At 35.9% G+C, this 23,389-nt stretch overlaps 1 protein-coding gene across 15 annotated transcripts in view; it reads left to right on the plus strand.

The window, feature by feature from the left end:
* Positions 1–23,006, plus strand: part of GAS2L3 (growth arrest specific 2 like 3) — a 54,605-nt gene extending 31,599 nt beyond the window's left edge. For 14 of the 15 annotated variants that reach the window (XM_047428730.1, XM_047428734.1, XM_047428733.1 and 11 more), the window contains 5 exons: positions 6,718–6,859; positions 12,462–12,525; positions 13,167–13,305; positions 16,993–17,100; positions 18,280–23,006. In XM_047428730.1, the coding sequence (XP_047284686.1) occupies positions 6,718–6,859; positions 12,462–12,525; positions 13,167–13,305; positions 16,993–17,100; positions 18,280–19,608 (1,782 nt within the window). In that variant the 3' untranslated portion in view covers positions 19,609–23,006. Of the gene's footprint in view, positions 1–5,725; positions 5,982–6,717; positions 6,860–12,461; positions 12,526–13,166; positions 13,306–16,992; positions 17,101–18,279 lie in introns of all 15 variants that reach the window. The other variant, NM_001303131.2, reaches the window with a different exon arrangement.
* Positions 23,007–23,389: the final 383 nt, after the last annotated feature.

The raw sequence follows: 23,389 nt of genomic DNA on the forward strand, positions 1-23,389 counted from the left end.
CAGGTTTTGTTGTCATACAGTTGCTCAGTATGATCCTTTAAATTTCTGTGGTATCAGTTGTAATGTCTCCTTTTTCATCTCTGATTTTATTTGGGTCTTCTCTCTTTTTTTCTTAGTCTGACTTAAGGTCTGTCAATTTTATTTATCCTTTCAAAAAACCAACTTCAAGTTTTATCTTTTGGTACTGTTTTTGTCATTTCAATTTTATTTATTTCTTCTGATTTTCATTATTTCTTTTCTTGTACTAATTTCGAGTTGATTTGCACTTGCTTTTTTAGTTCTTTAAGATGCATTGTTAGGTTATTTATTTTATGTTTTTCTTCTTTTTTGATGTGGACACTTACAGCTATAAATTTCCCTCTTAAGACTGCTTTCACTGTATCCCATAGGTTTTGGTATTTGTGCTTTCATTATTATTTTTTTCAAGAAATTTTTCAATTTTCTTCTTAATTTCCTCATTGACCCACTGGTCGGTCATTCAGAAGCATATTATTTAATTTCCATGTGTTTATATTGTTTCTGAAATTACTCTTGTTATGGATTTCTAGTTTTATTCCATTATGGTCAGAGGAGATGCTTTATGTTATTTCAGGTTTTTTTTTTTAATGTTTTAGGACTTGTTTTGTGACCTAACATATGATCTATGCTTGAGAATGATCCATCTGCTGAGGAGAATAAAGCAGCTGCTGAATGAGATGTTCTGTAAATATTTATTTGGTCCATTTGTTCTATAGTGAAGATTAAGTCTGATGTGTCTTTTTTGATTTTCTGTCTGGAAGATCTGACCAATGCTGAAAGTGGGGTGTTGAAGTCTCCAGCTGTTACTGTATTGGAGTCTCTCTCTCTCTTTAGCTGTATTAATATTTGCTTTATTTATCTGAGCGCTCTAGCATTGGGTGCATATATATTTACAATTTTTATATCCTTTTGCTGAATTGACCTCTTTATCATTATACAATGACCTTCTTTGTCTCTTCTTATGGGTTTTGTCTTAGAATTCATTTTGTCTGATATAAATATAGCTACTACTGTTCTTTTTCAGTTTCCCATTGGCATGGAATATCTTTTTCCATTCCTATATTTTCAGTCTATGTGTGTCTTCATAGGTGAAGAGTGTTTCTTGGAGGCAACAGATAATTGGGTCTTGCTTTTTCATCCATTCAGCTACTCTGTGTTTTTTGATTGGAGAATTTACTCTATTTACATTCAGTGTTATAATTGATAAATAAGGACTTATTCCTGCCATTTTGTTGTTTTCTGGTTGTTTTTTGGTTGGCTCCTTCTTTCTTTCCTTCCTGTCTTTCTTTTAGTGAAGGTGATTTTCTCTGGTGGTATGCTTTAATTTCTTACTTTTTATTTTTTGTGTATCTGTTGTATGTTTTTTGATTTGAGGTTACCATGAGGCTTGCAAATAATATAACCCATTATTTTAAACTGATTACGTAAGCAAATGAACTATTAATAGCAAAAAGAAAACTAATAAAAACTCTAACTTTATCCCCTTGCTTTTTAATTTTGGTTGTTTTTCTTTATGTCTTATTATACTGTCTATGTCTTGAAAAGTTGTAGTTATTAATTTTGATTGGTTCATTGCTTAGTCTTTCTACTTTAATATAATATTTTACATACCATAATTACAGTGTTATAGTATTTTGTGTTTTCCTGTGTACTATTACCAGTGAATTTTGTACCTTCAGATGATTTCTTATTGCTCATTAAAAGTCAAAAGATTTATACGATCTGAAGGGAAACCAGAATATTCTTATTGCTCATTAACATCCTTTTCTTTCAGACTGAAGAACTCACTTTAGCATTTCTTGTAGGATGGTCTGGTGTGGATGAAATCCCTCAGTTTTTGTTGTCTGGGAAAATCTTTATTTCTCCTTCATGCTTAAAGGATATTTTCACTGGGTATGCTATTCTAGGGCAAAAGTTTTTTTCCTTCAGCACTTTAAATGCCATGTCACTCTCTCCTGGCCTGTAAGGTTTCCACTGAAAAATTTGCTGCCAGACATACTGGAGCTCCATTGTATATTATTTGTTTCTTTTCTCTTGCTGCTTTTAGGATCCTTTCTTTATCCTTGACCTTTGGGAGTTTATTAAATGTCTTGAGGTAGTGTTCTTTGGGTTAAATCTGCTAGTGTTTTATAACCTTCTTGTACTTGAATATTGGTATCTTTCTCTAGGTTTGGGAAGTTCTGTGATAATACCCCTTTGAATAAACTTTCTATCCCCATCTCTCTCTCTCTCTGCCTCCTTTAAGGCCAATAACTCTTAGGTTTACCCTTTTGAGGCTATTTTCTAGATCCTTTAGGTGTGCTTCGTTGTTTTTTATCTTTTCTTTTCTCTACTCTGTATTTTCAAGTAGTCCTTCCTTGAAGCTCAGTAATTCTTTCTTCTGCTTGATCAGTTCTGCTATTAAGAGACCCTGATGCATTCTTCAGTATGTCAATTGCATTTCTCAACTCTAGAATTTCTGCTTGATTCTTTTAAATAATTTCAGTCTCTTTGTTAAATTTGTCTGATAGTATTCTTTCTCTGTGTTATCTTGAATTTATTTGAGTTTCCAAAACACAGCTATTTTAAATTCTCTGTCTGAAAGGTCACATATCTCTGTTTCTTCAGGATTGGTCCCTGGTACCTTATTGGTGAGGTCGTGTTTTCCTGGATGGTCTTGATGCTTGTAAATGTTCCAGTGTCTAGGCATTGAAGAGTTAGGCATTTATTGTAGTCTTTGCAGTCTGGACTTGTTGTGTCCATTGTTCTTGGGAAGGCTTTTCAGATATTCAAAGGGACTTGGGCCCCAAACCCAATAATGCCATGGTTCTCGCAGACTTATAGAGGTACCACCTTAGTGATCTTGGATAAGGTCTGGAAGAATTCTCTGCATTACCAGGTAGAGATTCTTGTGTGTGCGTGTGGGTTTTTTTCTTTACTTTATCCGAAACAAATGGAGTATCTCCCTTTGTGCTGGGCCTCCTGGATCTGGGGATGGGGGGACACAAGTACCCCTGTGGCCACCACCACTGAGACTGCACTGTTTCACACCTGAAGGCAGCACAGCACTGGGTCTCGCCCAAGACCTGCTGTAACCACCACTTGCCTACCACCTAAGTTCACTCAAGGCTCTAGGGCTCTATTATCAGCAGGTGGCACATCTAGCCAGGTTTGTGTCCCTCCTTTCAGAGTCATGTTCCCCCAGGCCCTGTTGGGTCCAGAGATGCTGTCTAGGAGTGAGATTGAAGTCTTTTTTTTTTGAGACGGAGTCTCGCTCTGTCGCCCAGGCTGGAGTGCAGTGGCACAATCTCAGCTCACTGCAAGCTCTGCCTCCCGGGTTCACGCCATTCTTCTGCCTCAGCCTCCCTAGTAGCTGGGACTACAGGCGCCTGGCACCGTGCCCAGCTGATTTTTTTTGTATTTTTAGTAGAGACGGGGTTTCACCATGGTCTTGATCTCCTGACCTCGTGATCCGCCCGCCTCGGCCTCCCAAAGTTCTGGGATTACAGGATTGAGCTGCTACACCCGGCCTGAAGTCTTAAACCTTAGAAATTTACCTGATGTTCTGTTTTACTGCAGTGAAGCCAGCACTCAGACCACAAGCCAAAATCCTTCCCACTCTTTCTTCCTCTTTTTCTGGGCAGAGAAGCCTCTCCCTGTGGCTACTACCACCACTGGCCCATGTGGGTTTCTGCCAGGCCACTGCTAACAGAACCCAAGGGCTCTTTAGTCAGCTTGTGGTGAATGCTGCCAGGCCTGGGATTCACCCTTCAGGGCAGTGGCCTCCCCTCTGGCCCAGGCCAGTTCCAGAAATGCTGACCAAGAGCCTAGGCCTGAAGCTGGGGACCCCTCAGAGCTTGCTTGGTGCTCTACTCTACTGTGGCTGAGTTGGCCCCTAAGGCACAAGACTAGAGTCTGCTTTACTTTTCCCCCTGCCTTTCTCAAACAGGAGGAGTCTTTCATTGTAGCTACCAATACTGGGAATATATTCAGTCCCACCTGAAGCTAGCATGTCTCAGAGCCCAACACCCATGGCATATTACCTGGGTATCACTGCTGGTTATTCGGGGCCCAGGGGTTCTTTACGCAGCAGGTGATGAATCCTGCCAGGTCACTACTGTGACAAGGCAGCACTGAGTTCAGTGTAAAGTCCTCCAGTTGCTGCGCTCCCTGTCTCCCAAGTGCACAGCTTTCTTTGCACCTTATGGCTGCTGCCAGGGGATGGGGGAGGGGTGGTACAAGCACACGCTTAGCCACCCTGGTTGATGTCTCAGTAGGTCATATGCCCCTCCCCTCTGGTCCACTGGCTCTGTCTGAGTCCAGCTCAGCACTGGGCTTGCCTAGGACTTGGAATTCTTGTGGCCTAGACTGCCCCTCAAGTTCGCTTAGGTCCTCAGAGCACTCCAGTTTGTGGTAGCAAGGCTTGTCTTAACTCAAGCTCTGATTACTTTAATGGGTGAGTCCCCTCTAGCTGGGGTTGGTCCAAATGCTTTCTCTATGGGCAGACATCAGCTACTAAAGCCTGGTTCTGCCTTCTGCTGAACCAGAACAGCAGTGAGTTCAATGTAAAGCCTCAAAATCACTGTGCTCTCCCCCTCCCAAATACACAGATGTTCTGTGCCATGTGGTTGCTGCTGGAAGATGGAGGAAGGGGTGGGCAATTTAAGACTGTCTTTCCTGCCCTCTTCAATGTCTCTCTCAGTGATACGAAATTAAAACCAGATTGCTCATTTGATTTTTTATTCTTGTAATGGTGCTTTTTGTGTGTAGCTAGTTGTTAAAATTTGATGTTCCTATGGGTAAGACGAATGGCGTAGGTTTGTATGCGGCTATCTCGCTCTGCCCCCTAAAGCACATCTTTTGATACATAGTTCTACTTGTAGCAGTTTATTCTGAGAAAATAATCAGAAGTTTATGAAAGTGATAGTACAAAAATTAGGAACAACCTAAATGTTTATCAACAGAGAAATTGTTAAAAATTAATTATGGTAACCAGACACGTTGGAATATTATACATTCATTGGAAACAATTTTTTAAATATGTTATTTTGAACCCCAGATGATGTCTACAACATATCATTTCATGTATATGCACACATACACACACAAATCAAATTGAAGAATAGTTTATGTGACATTTTGTAGATACAAATATGTGTGTAGTTGTGCATAGAGATGTCTTGCCAAAATGTGGGTGAGAGGATTTCAGTTGATAGTTTGTATTTTGCTATTGGTTTGATTTTTTTTTTTTGCAATGATTGTCTATTCTGTATTCAATGAGGAAAAAAAAACTCCTAACGTTATTTTAGTTTTGGAAATAAATAGTAACAGGAAGGATATACAAGGAACTGGTAATAGTGGTTAACTCTAGGGAGAGAGAGGAACTGGGGGTAGGTGAGAGAAAGACTTAATATCCTACTGTACCTACTGCATTAACAAAGATCATATTCATGAATTGCTTATTCAAGTAAAAATTTAAACCAAACCAAAACAAAAAAATCTCTCAGTCTCAGCAGAATTATCTAAATACTCTTGGAGCAGATAGTAAAAAAAATTAAGATTCTGTGAAACTTAGATCATCAGTTTTCAAAGAACTTTAATTAAGAAGGAACAACTACTTCCTTATTTGATAGTCTCCTCAAGAAACTCAGAACCATCTTTATTAATCTGCGTGGAAGGAAGTAAGCAAAAATGGGTGTCTGTGATTCTTTTTTTTTTTTTTTTTGAGAAAGAGTCTTGCTCTGTTGCCCAGGTTGGAGTACAGTGGCACGATCATAGCTTACTGTATCCTGGAACTACTGGGCTCAAGTGATCCTCTCACCTCAGCCTCCTGAGCAGCTGGGACTTTAGCTACATGCAACCACGTCTGGCTAATATTAAAAGAAATATTTTGTAGAGATGAGGTCACACTGTTTCCCAGGCTGGTCTTGAACTCCTAGCCTCAAGCAATCCTGCTTCAGCCTCCGAAAGTACTGGGATTACAAGTGAGTCATCATACTCATCTCTTAACTTTTAACATAGCAAGAATTTGAGGTTTATATTGAACTATGTGTAGAGAGACATAACATTGAGATGTGCTTTGCAATTATTAGGCTGTCAGTTTTTATTTTAATTAAGATTCTTGTTTCATTTTAAAAAGAAAGAGGTGAGAGATGTTTGATCTTACTGCTAATTTTGACCAAATCATTTTTCTAGGAATCATTTTCTGGAATATACTTTAAAGCAGCAGTCCCCAGTCTTTTTGGCACCAGGTACCAGTTTCATGGAAGACAGTTTTTCCACAGATTTGGGCGGGGGTGGTTTTGGGATGTAACTACTCCACCTCAGATCATCAGCCATTAGATTCTCATAAGGAGCACGCAACCTAGATCTCTTGCATGCACAGTTCACAATAGGGTTCAAGCTCCTGTGAGAATCTGATGCCATCGCTGATCTGACAGGCAGAGCTCAGGTGGTAATGCTTGCTTACCCACTACTCACCTCCTGCTGTGTGGCCTGATTGCTAACAGGCCACAGACCGGTACCAGTCTGTGGCCCAGGGGTTGGGGACCTCTGCTTTAAAGTAAAATAAAATAGTTTTCAAAACTATCTTTTTTCTCTAAAATTGTGTACTTTTTGGTTACAGGTGATGGATTGAACATTTATTTAGCAATATCAAAATGAATGTTTAATGAAAGTATCCTTGATACATTTTTGAAATTATTCTTTTGTCTTTTCCAGAATTTTCCAATGAGAAAAGTGCCCTGTAAGAAAGATGCTGCATCAGGTTCATTCTTTGCTCGGGACAATACCGCAAACTTCCTTCACTGGTGTAGGGACATTGGGGTTGATGAAACTTACCTCTTTGAATCTGAAGGTTTAGGTAAGTGATGTTCTTGTCATTCTTGTTTTTAATGCTTACTAGGATGTTTTAATATCCTTCACCTCTAATTTTTCTTTCCAAATAAGGACTCAAATGCCTCATCTCATTTTCCTAGAAAAATGTATACTTTGAATATATGTAGAATTATTGGAGAATCAGATACTAAATCAAATATATTAACCTTTTCACTTAAAGATTTTATGTGTCTAGAATGTCCTAAAATTCTGAATTCCTAAATGAGTTGGCTACAGGAAGGTTCTGGACTAATGCTTTAGTAATTGATATTTTCATTAAGAATTACTCCACCAAGCCTAAAAAGTAGTAACTTCCCTTTAACCGGATAATTACGGAAATGACAGGAGGCCTAATAATGTATTATCACGGTGTTTAGCTTTACCTTACAAACAACAGCTGCCAACTTGATTATCTAATGGATTAATATTTTTGACAATTCATTTTGAGGAGTCATGCTCTGTTGAAGAATTATTGACGTATTTTCTCATTTCCTTGAAGTCAACAGAAGCATCTGTGCAGTGACTAAAGCGGTAGCTATTTAAGTTTTATACTATATTTGAAAGCATTTATATATGTGTACATACACACACACACCCACCACCCCACCCCCACACATTGAATTCATAATGTGATAAGTGCAGCAGTGTACCAAGGGCAGGGCTGTGGGAGTTGTCTGCCCTGGTAGAAGTTTTATCACTGACATAGTTTAGGATTGCTGGTTTGTGGTGATAGTAAAAAGCAAACTGACTTTTTGTTGGTTGTATTATTTTAAAATTCTCTACTGACAGTACACACCCTTATTGCCCTCACACAGGGTAAGCGGCCTCCTGTTTGCTCTGCATCTGGGCACCCCTATCCAGTGTAGAGCAAGCATGGGATGCTATTTTATCCCTCTGTTTGCACCTTGCTTTAGATCCAGATGGGCTGATCATTATTGACAGTGTAGTTGATGTAATGGCACATCTACTTTCTAAAGATCAAAACAAAGTGGAAATGCTTTGAATTCTCTAGTTTCTAGTTTATTATTTCTGAAAGGACATAAGATTGTTGTATATTTCTCATTTTCAGTAGAAGGCATCTTCTCACTCTCCTGAAGGTCAGTATAGGACTAAGTAAAGCACTGCCAATACCAGTAATTCATTTTGAGGCATTGAACCGATAAGCTAATGTTTTTACTCTCCAGAGGTCTCAAAGATGAGCCTCTTAATTTTTTACACTTTGCTAGCAACTCAAAGCTATTTTATGAAACAAATATACTATTTTAAGGAACTTAGAAGATATTTAGAAAAACAAATCTAGTAAAAATTTTAGGATAAATTCCTCTGTTGGTATGAATTTTAAACTCAAATGTAGGCTTTTTATAGCTTTGAAAGAGTATACTTTGTGCTTGGGGTGTATAATAGATGCTATTCATAAATCAAAGAACAATTACCATTTCTTTCTTTTTTTTTTTTTTGAGATGGAGTCTCGCTATGTCGCCCAGGCTGGAGTACAGTGGCGCGATCTCAGCTCACTGCAAGCTCCACCTCCTGGGTTCCCGCCATTCTCCTGCCTCAGCCTCCAGAGTAGCTGGGACTACAGGCACCTGCCACCACGCCTGGCTAATTTTTTGTATTTTTAGTAGAGGCTGGGTTACACCATGTTAGCCAGGGTGGTCTCAATCTCCTGACCTCATGATCTGCCAGCCTAAGCCTCCCAAAGTGCTGGGATTACAGGCATGAGCCACCACGCCAGGCCAACAATTACTATTTCTATTGAGGGAATCAGGGCACATGCAATTCATGCACATATTGCACATGATTAGGTTAGAATTCAGAAGTTTCCTAGAGTTTCTAACTTTAAGGACTGCAACAGAAAAGGAGATGATCCACAACTACTATATCATTGCATTTAGCATGTGTTCTATGATCAGGCCTTTTTAAAAATTGTTTTAAGGATCTCTGTTTACCTTTATATTGCATTTCCTTTTATATTTATTTTTATTTTAAAAATTGTATTAAAATGCACGTAAAATTTACTATCTTAGGCTGGGCGCATTGGCTCACACCTGTAATCCCAGCACTTTGGGAGGCTGAGGCAGGTGGATCACCTGAGGTCAGGAGTTTGAGACCAGCTTGGGCAACATGGCGAAACCCCGTCTCTACAAAAATACAAAAATTAGCTGGGCATGGTGGTGCACGCCTGTAGTCCCAGGTACTCAGGAGGCTGAGGCAGGAGAATTACTTGAACCTGGGAGGCAGAGGTTGCAGTGAGCCAGGATCACGTCGCTACACTCCAGACTGGGTGAAAGAGTGAGACTCATAAAAAAAAAAAAATTACTATCTTAACCATGTAACCATTTTTAAGTGTATTAGGTTTCTTTTGTAGTAGCATAAAAATTGAGATATGCTGTACATAATCTAAAATTCACAATTTTAAAATGTACATTTCAGTGGTTTTTAGTATATTCACTATGTTGTACAATCATTACTACTATCTAATTTCAGAACATTTCTGGAAAATCTGTACCTATTAGCAATTAGTCCCAGTTATTCTCCTACCCCATGCCAAGGCAAACTCTGTTCTCTGTCTCTATGGATTTGCATATTCTGGATGTTTCATATAAATGGAATCATACAATATGTGGCATTTTGTGTCTGTTTCTTTTAGTTAGCACAGTGGTTCATTTATGTTGTAGCATGTAACAGTACTTAATTCCTTTTTATGGTAGACTAATATTCCATCGTATAGATATGCCATATTTTTTTAAGCCATTCATCAGCTAGTGGGCATTTGGATTGTTTCCACTCTGGCTATTATGAATAATGTTGCTCTGAACATTTGTGTACAAATTTTGAAGTAAACATATTTCTTAATTCTCTCAGATATATACCTAAGAGTGGAATTTCTAGGTCATATGGTAATAATTCTGTTTATCTTTTTGAGGAGCTGTTTTCAAAGTGGCTGCACCATTTTACATTTCTGCCAGCAGTGCCCAATGTTCCAATTTCTCCACATCTTTGTCAATACTTATTTGCCTGTTTTTGTTTTTATTATAACCATCCTAGTGGGTGTGAAGTAGTATTTTGTTGTGGTTTTGATTCGCGTTTCCCTAAGGATATTGAACATCTTTTTATATACTTGTTAACCACTTGTATAACTTCTTTGGAGACTATCTATTCAAATCCTTTGCCTATTTTAAAAATTGGGTCATTTACCCTTTTTGTCAACTTGCAAGAATTCTTTATATATTCTAGATACTAGGCCATATTAGATAAGATTTGCAAATATTTTCTCCTAGCCTTTGGGTTATTTTTTTACTTTCTTGATAGTGTCCTTTGATATACGAAAGTTTTAAATTTTGGTGACATTTAATTTATCTATTTTTCTTTTGCTTGTCCATACTTTTGGTCATTTAAAAATCCATTGCCTAATTAAAGTCATATATATTTTTAACATTTTTTTCTATAAATGTTACAGTTTGTGCCTCTTACTTTTAGGTCATTGATCTATTTTAAGTTAATTTTTGTATATGGTGGGAGGTAGGGGTTCAAATTCATTCTTTTGCATGTGGATGTCCAGTTGTGCCAACACCATTTGTTGAAAAGCCTGTTCTCTCCTTATTGAATTGTCTTAGCATCTTGTTGAAATTAATTGTACATAAATGTATGGGTTTATTTCTGGACACTCATTTCCATTCCATTGGTCTGTACATCTATCCCTATGCCAGTGATACACTGTCTTGATTACTGTAGCTTATAGTAAGTTTTGAAATTGGGAGGTGTGGGTCTCCAAATTTGTTCTTTTTCTAGATTGGTTAGGCTTTTCTGTGCCCTTTGGAATCCCATACTAATTTGATCATCAGCTTTTCCATTTCTGGAAAAAAAAAGGGGTGTTGTAATTTTGATAAGGATTACACTGAATCTGTAGGTCAGTTGGGGGAATGTTGCTATCTTAACAAGTTGTCTTCCAATCCATGAACATGAGATGTCTTTATTTATAATCTTTTAAAATTTCATTCAACAGTGTTTTATAGTTTTCAGTGTACAAGTATTACAATTCTGTGATTAGGTTTACTTCTAAGTACTTTTTCTTTTTGAAGCCATTGTAAGTGTAATTATTTTCGTTTCATTTTCAGACTGTTCATTTCTAGTGTATGCAACTAATTTTTGTGTATTGATGTTATCTCCCACAACTTTGAACTTGCTTATTAGCTCTAACAGTTATTTTGTAGATTCTTCAGGGTTTTCTTCTACACATAGGATTATGTTACCTGTTTTTTGTTTTTTTGTTTTTGTTTTTGTTGCTTTGTTTTTTGAGACAGGGTCTCACTCTGTCACCCAGGACTGGAGTATAATGGCACGATAATAGCTCACTGTAGTCTTGAACTCATGGATTCAGTTCATCCTCCTGCCTCAGCCTCTTGAGTATCTGGGATTACAAGTGTGCACCACCATGCCTAGCTAATTAAAAAAACAAACAAACAAAAAAACTGTAGAAACAGGGTCTCACTTTGTTGCCCAGGCTGGTCTCAAACTCCTAGCCTCAAGCGATCTTCCCGCCTCAGTCTCCCAAAGTGCTAGGATTATAGGTGTGAGCCACCATGTCTGGCCTATGTTATCTGTTAATAGAGGTAGTTTTCCTTCTTCCTTTCTAGTCTATATATGATTTATTTATTTTTCTTGCATAAATGCCATGGCTACATCCTCCAATACAATGCTGAATAGAAATAATAAGAGTGGACATCCTTGTCTTTTCCTGGTCTTGAGGGGGAGACTTGCAGTCTTTTACCTTTAAGAATGATAATGGTTGTGGGTTTTTCCTAGATGCCCTTTTATCAGATTGAGAAACTTTCTTTTTTCTTCCTAGTTTGTTCAGTCTTTTTTTTTTTTTAATCATGAAATGGTTGGATTTTGTGAAATACTTCTTTGTCTCTTGAGATAATTGGGTTTTTTTCCTTTATTCTGCTAATAGTATATTGCATTGGGTTGATTTTCTTATATTGAACTATTTCTGGCATAAATGCCACTTGCATGGTATATAATCCTTCTATATGCTGCCAGATTTGGTTTGCCAGTATTTCATTGAGGATTTTTGTATCTATATTCATAAGACATATTGGGTTTTAGTTTTCTTATGATATCTTCATTTGGCTACCTTTGATATCAGGGTAATGCTGTCATCCTAGAATGGGTTAGAAAGTACTTTCTCCTCTTTGTAAGAGTTTGAGAAAGGTATTAACACATAATTCAATGCTAAAGATAGCTTAAAATAAAATTGCGGTACTATATATCTTTTAATGGTATCTCTTGTTGAAAGATCTGAAACATAAGCAATGTTACTAAGCCCTCAATTTTTTAGACTTCAAATGCTGTGCAAATAAAGGTCCATGGTAATTTTTCATTCTGTTCTTATTAGCTGTTTTTTTTAAACTAATTTGTTGAAGATAATAAGTAGAAAAAATAAAAGTGTCTTTTCTTCATTTTTTCTAAACAAGTAAACCTGCTGTCTTCATTATTCTTTTTTATTTAACTCTCTTCTTCCATGCCAGAAATATGTTTCCATACTTAATTTTGCTGTATAAAATAAGTGGTTTTATTTTCCACAGTTTTGCACAAAGATCCAAGACAGGTGTATCTTTGTCTTCTTGAAATTGGTCGAATTGTGTCAAGGTATGTATTCCACAATATTTCAGAATTTCAATGTTATAAACATTTTAAATCTACTGAATTTTAGTTTAGAACACTATTTTCTATAAATAAAAAAATGCTTTAAATGAACTATTTTCCTGTTTTATCTTTTTGTTTCTTTATCAACTTCATTCTGTTTGCATGAGCATATGTAAACATCCGAGTTCTCAATATAGCTTGTCTTCTTTTACTGTTAAACTATGGGAGTGGTTACTTAAATTTTTTAGATTAAGGATAGGGTAAGAGCATGCAGTCTAAGGCAGTTCAAGTCAAAGCAAGTCCTCTGAACACAGAGAGGATCTGGCAGAAGGCAAGGAGTGGTGTCCCCCATACCTACTTCAGTTCTATCTTTACTCAGCAGCTGATTCGAAAGCCACCTTTCAGGATCCCAGGTAGAATATTGGGAGCATCCTGCAACCCAAATATGTGCTATGATGTGAGGACTGTAATATAGATATTTTACAATCTGTGAGACATTAAAAAGCATTTTCAAATATCCCAGTGAAACAATTGGTAGAAGAGGATCATATAGACTTTACTTCAGAAAGAAAATCTATCTTGATATGCAGGCAAGTACTGGGTCAACTTTGCTTGAATGATCAGATCTCCTGGTTGGTTTTCAGATACGGGGTTGAGCCACCAGTGTTAGTAAAACTTGAGAAAGAAATTGAGTTAGAAGAGACTTTGCTTAATACTTCTGGGCCTGAAGATTCCATCAGCATTCCAAAATCATGCTGTCGGCATGAAGAGCTACATGAAGCTGTAAGTAGTTGCCACACTTTCTTTTGACCATGATACCTTGAAGTCTCATAGTTTTAAGCACTTCTAGTGTGCTACAGGTGATGCTATTTTTAAAAGCAAGTGTTTCTTATTCAGAATATAAACCGGTACTATTCTCCATTCTCTGATGAATTCAGGGCATTATATTTTAAAGGTGATTTGTTATTGCTTGTGTATGATGAGGAATAAATGTGTAGTTGAGGAGTGGTGGGGCAAACAGATTGGAACTCATCATGAAGAGAACTATAGGCCACAAGAATTCATTGATTCTTTTTTCAGTCTGGTAGTATTGTAATCTGATTTGCAAATTATAAGGAATATTCTCATGGTCTTGTAGAGGTTATATTGGTTTTGTGGTAATAATCCAGGCATAAGATGAGAGCTTGAACTTGAGCAGCAGTAATGGGGATGGAGCAACAGGAACAAATATAAGACATATTTAGGAAGAATTGTTAGGAGAATTGACAGGAATTAGTGAGTGTTTGTGTGTGAGAGAGAATCTAGGGTGATTTCCAAGGTTTCTCTAAGTAGATGGTATATTGATCCTTGCAGAATACAGGAGGAGGAAAAGTTGTGAGGGAAGATTGATGGGTTTTTTTTTTTGAGCATTCTCTCCTCCAGAATATATCCAAACTTGTTAGATGATAGGTTACAACTGGACAGTCTTCTTAACTTTATCTGTTCATTAGGTAGAAGTTAATAGAATTGCTCTTCCTTGGGTTGTGGGTCTTCTGCAGTGACTACAATGTGAACAATGAAGGTGAACTGAGCATGAACATTTTCTGCTTAGACTGTTGTTTGGACTGTAGCATTTTATAAAGGGGTTAAATATACAAAATTAAGAAATAATGAATAAATCATTACTAATAAACATTTTAAAAGTATTGCTTTGATTGTTTTGTTTAATGTAATAAAAGTCTATAGTAAAACTATCAGATAACCTTGCAAGACAGATTAAGAACATGTCAGAATGAATAACTCTTTTATCTGGCCAAAATATCTACCTACATTATGCTATTCATGTGTGTGTGTGTATATATATATAATGATTGTCAATATCAATATGGGAAGCAGAAAGAATGCAGTAGGTAGAAAATAAAATTTAAATCTCATATAACCTTAAAGAATGATAAATGAAAAGGAAACATTGGAACAATATTTTTATCAAGTGGAAAATACAGTGTGTTCATTTCCCTATTATATAAAGACCTTACACAATTTGATAAGAAAAACTTGCAGTAAGTAAATGGGCAAGGTCTGTGTTCACACAAGAAGAAAGTGCAGTGTTGAAACTTGCTGATAATCAAGGAAATCAGATTAAAACAGCTATGAAATACCATTTGCCCCACTAGCAAGATTTTTTAAAACTATTAAACCTGGTGCTTTTAAATTCTAGCAAACTGTACTTAGTGTTTACTGTTGGCAATGGAAAATGATGTAAACTTTTGAAAAAGAAATGGACAAATATTAAGAGCTACAAAAATATTACTTTTTCATTTTTATTGTAGTTGAAGAGGGAAAAAGTGGCATAAATGAAAGTGTTTATTACATTAGGACTTAGAATGGTGAAAAAGTAAATACCCTCAAATAGGGCAACGGTTTGGCAAATTAGGATTCATAATCTTAACAGGATAATCATTGTGATCATTGTGAAGAATAATGTAGCAACAAGAAAAATGTTTATTTTGTGTAAAATATGTACATATAGACAAACTGTATAGAAATGAGAATGAAAATAATAGTAATATAGTACCTTTGTAGATTATTTTTATTTCCTTAGCTATTTCCTTCAGTATTGTAATGTAAATTATGTAATAAAATCAGAAGAAATCATTTCTTACCTACAGCTCTTATTTCTTTTAGGCTCATGCCTTGTTCTGATTGTGGGTTAGTGCTGATTTGTACTGCTCAATATAAGTGAGATTCGGGTATCTTAAATAAGGAAAAGATACGACTTGTTATATCTGCATTCTTGTTATGAAAACTAAAAAGAAACATTTCTCTAAATATATGTGTGCTATATGAATACATTCATTGTCTACCTGTGAATATGTGATCTACAGATATCTTGGAAAATAAGGAACAATTATTTTCTGATTCACGATTTAGGGTCCTGTTACAAAATATACAACAGCAATTCTATATACTTAGGAAATTTTTACAGACAGAAAGTGGTGACTAAAAGATATATCTCCTTTCAGATTACTTTGGTTAACTAATGTATCAGCATGGTTCTAATAACTGTAAGCCCTTTCCCAGAGTTCAGTTTATTTTTCACCATTTTATGCACATGGTGTGTATGTTTGTATCAACATAGATGCAGATGTGCACGTGTGCATGTGAACAAGATAAACTTGATTGGGTGACTTATGAAAATCAGTTCTATTTGTTTATACGCACGTTATTTTGTTAAATAAATGATATAGGAAAATAAGTTCTGGACCTTTCCTTTCAGGCCCTAGTGAATCCACAGGTGTTCATTTGATTTAGGTAGATATTTAAGACAATCATATAAATTTCTATTGGTGCTCAGCTAAATTAGGCCTATCTAAAGAGACTCTCTTTAATATCATGCCTAAGTTTAGTTATATGAATTCGTTTTGATAAATTTTGTGTGGCAATAATTGAGAAAAACATTCATGACCTTCCTTTTTCAAAAATGTAATTTTAGGAAAAGCCAAATATTTTCCACAGTGGCTGATGTGTGACTTTTTTCAGTCATAGGTATTTCAACAAATATCTTTACTTAATATATTTCCATTTCCATGTTTTAAATATAGAATTCTTAAATTTGTTTTTATATTTACTGCAGTTCTACCATTAAAAAATATTTATAATAATAGAAAATTCTATAAGCTTCTTAACTGGTTGAAGTAGGGTTCCCCCATGCCAACTCCTACTTCCTTAGCAGGCTACTGAAACAGAGCATTTTTAGAGAAATGCATCTTGAATTGAAAATTTTAAGAATTTTATCCAATCTTGAGAGAATAGATGTAAATATGTTTCTGCCAATTTTAATAATAAATTTGATCAAATCTAGATATTTCCCCCAAAATATTAGTTTAGTACACTTTTAAGGGACAAGTGAAAATTCCTACTTAGCCTTTACTGACTGGCCTGTCTCTGATTTGACATGTATTATTAACTCAGGGCTTAAAATAAATTCAAGCTTAATAACGAACTCATATGTTTCCTAAAACTCAACAAATGTGTTAATTGACCTCACTGTGTTATATGTTCGAAGATGAAGGGTGGTGGGGAGGGAGGGTGGGGGGGGGAGAGAGAGAGAGAGAGAGAGAGAGAAAGAGAGAGAGAGAGGCACTGAGAGAGAGACAGACAGAGAGATACCAGCTAGGCTGTTTGGATCTGAAACCTGGCTCTGCTACTTACTAGCTGTATGATCTCAGGCAAGTTTAACCTCTCTTTGGTAAAATTGGGGAAAATAAGAATTTTACCACAAAGTCATTTTGGGAAGACTGTGGCTTTTTTATGTTAGATTAGCAATGTCTAATCTCAATATTTGTTAATAAGCACAGGAGAAGCGATTAAATTATTGAACCTGAAATTTTTATCTTTGAGTTTGGTTTTCCTTAGCTATCAAATAATATTACACTTTAAACAAAATGCTTTTTGTGACAAGCACTAAATTTTATTTGTTCGTCATCTTAGGTTAAACATATTGCTGAGGACCCTCCTTGTAGTTGTTCTCATCGATTTTCTATTGAGTATTTATCTGAAGGACGGTACCGACTAGGGGATAAAATACTCTTTATAAGAGTAAGTCCATTATTTACACTTTATTTACACATAAATACTGTTTTGAAATTGGATTTATTGCTTTACTAACCTTTTGCTCTCCTTTTACTTTTAAAAACATTGGAAAAGATGCTATTAATGGAAGGATTTCACTGTACAGGGAAAATGGAGTAATTTCTTTCATGAGTATATAATGAGTTTAGGTAAACACTCATCACAGCAAACAACTAACTTCAGGATAGCTAAGATTATTTAGGCAGTGAGTATAATGGGGAAAAATCCTTGCATACCTCAAGGAACATATTTCTCAAATTTTCTTAGAAAAAGGAATAATTTTCCATCATAAGAAGAAAAACCAAAACATCTAATAAGATTGAGTATCCATAGTAAAAAAAAAAAAAAAAAAAAAAAAAAAAAAAAAGAAAAGAAAGAAGTGTAGAGTTTATAATAATACAAGCCTTGGGCATTAAACAGAAAATATTTTTCTCATTGACACAGAATCAGTATGTATACCAGTATGCTGATATATATGTTCATTTCCTTCCTCTGTCCCATCTACAGTTGATTAATTGTTCCTTTTGTTGGTAAGGAGATTGAAATTTCACCTGTTCATCATTCTTTCCACTTCTCATACAGAAGCTGTCTTATTTCCAATTTAGGAAAATAATATAAAAGTATTTAAAAATATTATTTCACCATCCATATTTTCTTCTATTTCACATATTATTACCTCCTCAGCCCCACCTAGCTCATACAGAAACATTTGCATGCATTTTCTTTTAATTAGCTTTCTGTTTTAAGGCAGTATGATGTAGTAGTGCACAGAGCATAGGACTTAGAGTTAAAATTTGTGGATAATCTCATACAGTTGTGCAGATTTGCTTACTGAATGGACAGGGCCCTAAAACCCAACTTGAGATATATTGGCAGAGCCAGGATGTCTTATTTTTAGGATGCAAGTTATATGTAAATACCTTCCTTACAAATTGGAAGATTTTGTATCATTAGTTGCATAATTCAATGTGAGTTAAATTTATTATATTAATAATACAAGAAACAAACTGTCAATTTGTAGTGAGGCTGTTGGCAAATGCTCTGAATTTTATAGATCACAGACATCACATATTGTAACTGCTAATGAATTGTAACTATAAACCTCACAGTATTACAGCTTTACTTTTTGTTTTCCTTTGGGGGCAGATGCTTCATGGAAAACATGTCATGGTTCGCGTTGGTGGAGGCTGGGATACTCTTCAAGGATTTTTGCTTAAATATGACCCCTGTCGAATATTACAGTTTGCCACATTAGAACAAAAAATTTTAGCATTTCAAAAAGGAGTTTCTAATGAAAGTGTACCTGATTCGCCTGCCAGAACACCTCAGCCTCCTGAAATGAATCCTTTGTCAGCAGTTAACATGTTTCAGAAACAAAATTCAAAACCCAGCGTGCCAGTTAGTATTCCAAAAAGCAAAGAAAAACAGGGACGTCCACCAGGTGCATTGGTGCCAGCATCTTCACTGAAAGGAGGTAATCTGGGCTCTATGTCAGTCCGTTCTAAATTGCCAAATTCTCCAGCAGCATCTTCTCATCCCAAGCTCAAGTCTTCAAAAGGCATAACGAAGAAACCGCAGGCTCCTTCAAACAATGCATCATCTTCACTTGCTTCATTAAATCCAGTAGGTAAAAACACTTCTTCACCAGCTTTACCAAGAACTGCACCTTGTATATCTGAGTCACCGAGAAAATGTATTTCATCCCCCAATACCCCCAAGGCCAAGGTTATTCCAGCCCAGAATTCAGCAGATCTGCCCGAGTCCACACTTTTGCCAAATAAGTGTTCAGGAAAAACTCAACCTAAGTATTTGAAACATAATCATATTTCTTCCAGAGATAATGCAGTATCTCACTTAGCTGCACATTCAAATTCATCCTCAAAATGTCCCAAGCTGCCTAAAGCAAATATACCTGTAAGACCTAAACCTTCTTTCCAGTCCTCTGCAAAAATGACAAAAACCAGTTCCAAAACCATAGCCACGGGTCTAGGAACACAGTCTCAACCATCCGATGGAGCCCCACAAGCAAAGCCAGTCCCAGCACAGAAACTTAAATCGGCCTTGAATTTAAATCAGCCAGTTTCTGTGTCCTCAGTTTCTCCTGTAAAAGCCACACAGAAATCAAAAGATAAGAATATAGTTTCAGCTACCAAAAAGCAGCCTCAGAATAAAAGTGCATTTCAGAAGACAGGACCCAGCTCCTTGAAGTCTCCTGGCCGTACCCCACTGTCCATCGTGAGCCTACCCCAGTCTTCTACCAAAACACAAACTGCACCGAAGTCAGCACAGACTGTCGCTAAGAGCCAGCATTCAACTAAAGGGCCTCCCAGAAGTGGCAAAACCCCAGCTTCAATCAGGAAACCACCCTCATCTGTTAAGGATGCAGATAGTGGAGATAAAAAACCTACTGCAAAGAAAAAGGAAGATGATGACCATTATTTTGTCATGACTGGAAGTAAGAAACCTAGAAAATAAATACATACTCATTATAAAAAAAGAGAAAAGGAAGAATGAATGTGTTAGCTTCACATCTTAAAAGTTTCTCCTATTTGTGTCTGTCTAAATAGGTGCAGACACTAAGGATAGTGAGGATGGAGGCTGGGATGAGGAAAGGGTTCATCAGAATTCACATATCTGAATTCACTGGAAAGAGCCCTTCTGAAGCAAACAGTTGTAAAATCACTGCAAGGTTTTTATTAATAATAGACATGTATATGATTTTCAGTCTATAGCATCTTTGTTAACATCTGCCTTTTGCAGGAAATGTAAAAGTTATTTAACACTACAAGAATTTTAACAATAGTTGCTCTATTTTTGAATATGTATTAAATATGGAGTTCATATACCTGCTAATATCAACGGTGGTGCTCTTACTATTAGTTAATTGCATTTTGGTTAAAAAAAAAAAAGCAACAGTTTGGCACTTGTCCTACAAAAGGCACCTAATTTAATTTTCTGATCAGGATTGCCTGATCCAACAGTGCTAAGTCATGGCTGCTGCTGACTAGCTTGGCATTATTCTGTGTTAGGTAGAATTCTTATTATTTATTTTTTTAAGCTTTCCAAATTGGAAGGAACTGATTGTTTCATGTGGCTTATATTTACATTGGTAATATTTTGTCACCAATATTTTTGGTTAAAAAAAATCCAACAAATTAACTTACTGAAATATAAACAAATTTTGTAAACAATTTTTTATATTATCTATAAAAACGTAGACACCTTATGTTTCACATGTTGTGCAATGTGACAGGGGAAGCTGATTTAGTAGCTTTTAGCATATTAAAAATAATTTTTTATAATGTAATTTCCTGTGAGTGCAGACCTGACATTTTACATTAAAATAATGTGAAACATCAGAATTATGTTTTAACAACTTTAAAATTAAGATGATGTTAAAATAATTTTAGAGTTATGCTATGTAAAAATTCTATCATGAAATTATTTTTCTCTAGATAGCACAATACCAATTTTAATTAATTTCTTCCAATTAGGTTACTTTTCTTTAATAAAGTTATGCTGCCTTCAGTTTTCCAATGGCAAGTAGACAGGATATGTTCAAGGTTTTCTGCACTGTAGGCACAGTCTCTCAAGCATATCCTGATCATGTAATGACTGCATAAACTCCATCAACCTAAGGTGATACTTGTAAATAATTTATTTTTAAGGGATGGTGACTTTAAAAATTATTAATGAACTTTGAGAAGTTTTAAGAGTGCTTTTAAAACTTCACAGTATTGCCAATTATCTTAGGTTATTCAGTATTCAGGTTTGTGTTTCTCTGTTTTAAACTAAAATGTGTTTTCTGAAGAAAAAAATAATAGTTTACACAAATGTACAATCATAGAATAAGCATTTTAAGCTGGCGACTAGTGTTCTATAGATTACAAAGCAAGAAAACTTTCTATGAAGATAAATGACCTTTTGCCTGAAGAGTACAGATAAAATCAAAGATGTGTGCAAGCTAGTTTTTGGAAGAAGTGATGCTTCTCTTCTTTAAAGAGACAGTCACCAAATACTTGGTTTAACTCGACTATTGACTTGGGCATTGAGAGAGATGATATATACATCTTTGGAAAGTGAAGTCAATGTTCAAGAGGTGATAGAAGCTTTACTTTTTAGTGATCAGAAATATTTAGTGCATCTTTTCAGACAGGAAGAATTTTATCATCAAGTATTCCCTTATAAAACCAAGTAACACTTCTTTATCAGTAACTTTTAGAACTTAAAAGAAAGCAAAAAGTAAATGGAATTGTAGGCAATTTATGAATCCTAGTAGATTTTACAATATGTAATTTATGTTGTTTACAGTATATAAACACTAAGTTTTGTGTTAAATGTGATCAGGAATAAAAGTATCCCACAGGCATCTGACACAAATTCCAGAATTAGCCAAAGAATTGTTTATTTGAGGCCAGGCAATCCCAGCATTTTGGGAAGCCAAGTTGGGCAGATCACGAAGTCAGGAGTTCGAAATCAGCCTGACCAACATGGTGAAACCTCTTCTCTACTAAAAATACAAAATTAGCCGGGCATGGTGGCACATGCCTATAATCTCAGCTACTCAGGAGGCTGAGGCAGGAGGATCGCTTGAACCCGGGAGGCAGAGGTTGCAGTGAGCCAAGATTGCGCCACTGCACTCCAGCCTGGGCAACAGAGTGAGACTCTGTCTCAAAAAAAAAAAAAAAGAAAAAGAAAAGAAAAAGGTTTATTTGAATAATTGGAAGTCAGTTTATACATTACTATTTTTCAGCAGTAGGGAATTTCTCCAATTACATTCATGTTGAATGAATTTTTATTTATATATAGCTTACCCTTCCAAAATAAAAGTGTTTTTTTAATGTTGTTTTGTTTTGTTTTGTTTTTTTCCTTTTTTGAGACGGAGTTTCACTCTTGTTGCCCAGACTGGAGTGCAGTGGCACAATCTCAGCTCATTGCAACCTCTGCCTCCTGGGTTCAAGTGATTCTGCTGCCTCAGCCTCCTGAGTGGTTGGGATTACAGGCATCCACCACCAGGCCCAGCTAATTTTTTTGTATTTTCAGTAGAGATGGGGGTTTCACCATGTCGGCCAGGCTGATCTCAAACTCCTGACCTCAGGTGATCCACCTGCCTCAGCCTCCCAAAGCGCTGGGATTACAGGCATGAGCCATCACACCCAGCGAAAAGTTTTGTTTGAATAAACAATATCCGAAAGACAATTAGTTTCTTCAGATGTATTTTGAAATTCTCCTAAAGAGCTAGTGTTTCTATTCATTTTCACAATTTAAAAACAGCTCTTAACATTGCTGAAGTTGGGAGAACTTTCCATCTCTTCTTAATAACAGTGCAAGATTTTGTAAATTCTTTTTTGTGTTTAATGTTTAATAAAACGAGTATTAAGCTTAAATTACTGAAGTACCTGGGAGAAGTAATGATGTGTACTTTCAAAAAAATGGAAAATGCTTTTATTTTATTTTCTATAATTTGTTAACATGATATGTAAAATTAAACTTCGGAGCACAATGAAATGCCGATTATTTTTACCTTGTTTGGGCTTAAAGTAGGTATTTAAGGTTTATGTGTTCAAAATGCCTTGGTAAATTGGATGACCTCTAACTTTACTGTCCATATGGAGTTTGTCATTCTTTATGGATAAGAGAACTTAAGGAAAAGTTACTGTTTTTCTTCAGTCTTTTTATATCTATCTGATTTAAAATCTGTTACTTTATTAAAAGGCTTCAACAACAGGTTGTTAGGATGTAGTCTTACATCCAGGTTCACATAATAACCCCATTTGAATCCAAATTTGTGTATATTTTCTTATGCCAGCAGTATTTGTATCCAATTTTAACTTAGGTTTGTTTTCTTGAGTATTAAAATTTAAACATATATACCAAGGTCTCAGTTTGCTTTTTTGGTGTATTCTGAATACAGTCTGATCACTTAATTCATGTTGGAAATTGCATATAGGAAGAATTCATAATTTGAGAAGAGTGCTGTTTAAAATGCTTTCTTTATATTTGTGGAATTTATTTCACTGCACCCAGGAGATTATAAGGCCTTGTCATTAATCAACAGTATTTGTTCCTCAAGTTGCTGTATATGCTGGATGTTTTTCCAGAAAGACCAGACTCACATTTAATAATGTTTGAAATAATAGAGATAATTTGTTGGTTATCAAGGTAGAATTCTATAGGTCATACAAGCATTGTGTTCACCAAAGATGACTGATATCAGGAATTTCCAATTTTCAATTCCTGTAATCCTGTTTTAATT

The sequence above is a fragment of the Homo sapiens genome, chromosome 12 (genome assembly GCF_000001405.40).
Source record: "Homo sapiens chromosome 12, GRCh38.p14 Primary Assembly".
Taxonomy (NCBI): domain Eukaryota; kingdom Metazoa; phylum Chordata; class Mammalia; order Primates; family Hominidae; genus Homo; species Homo sapiens.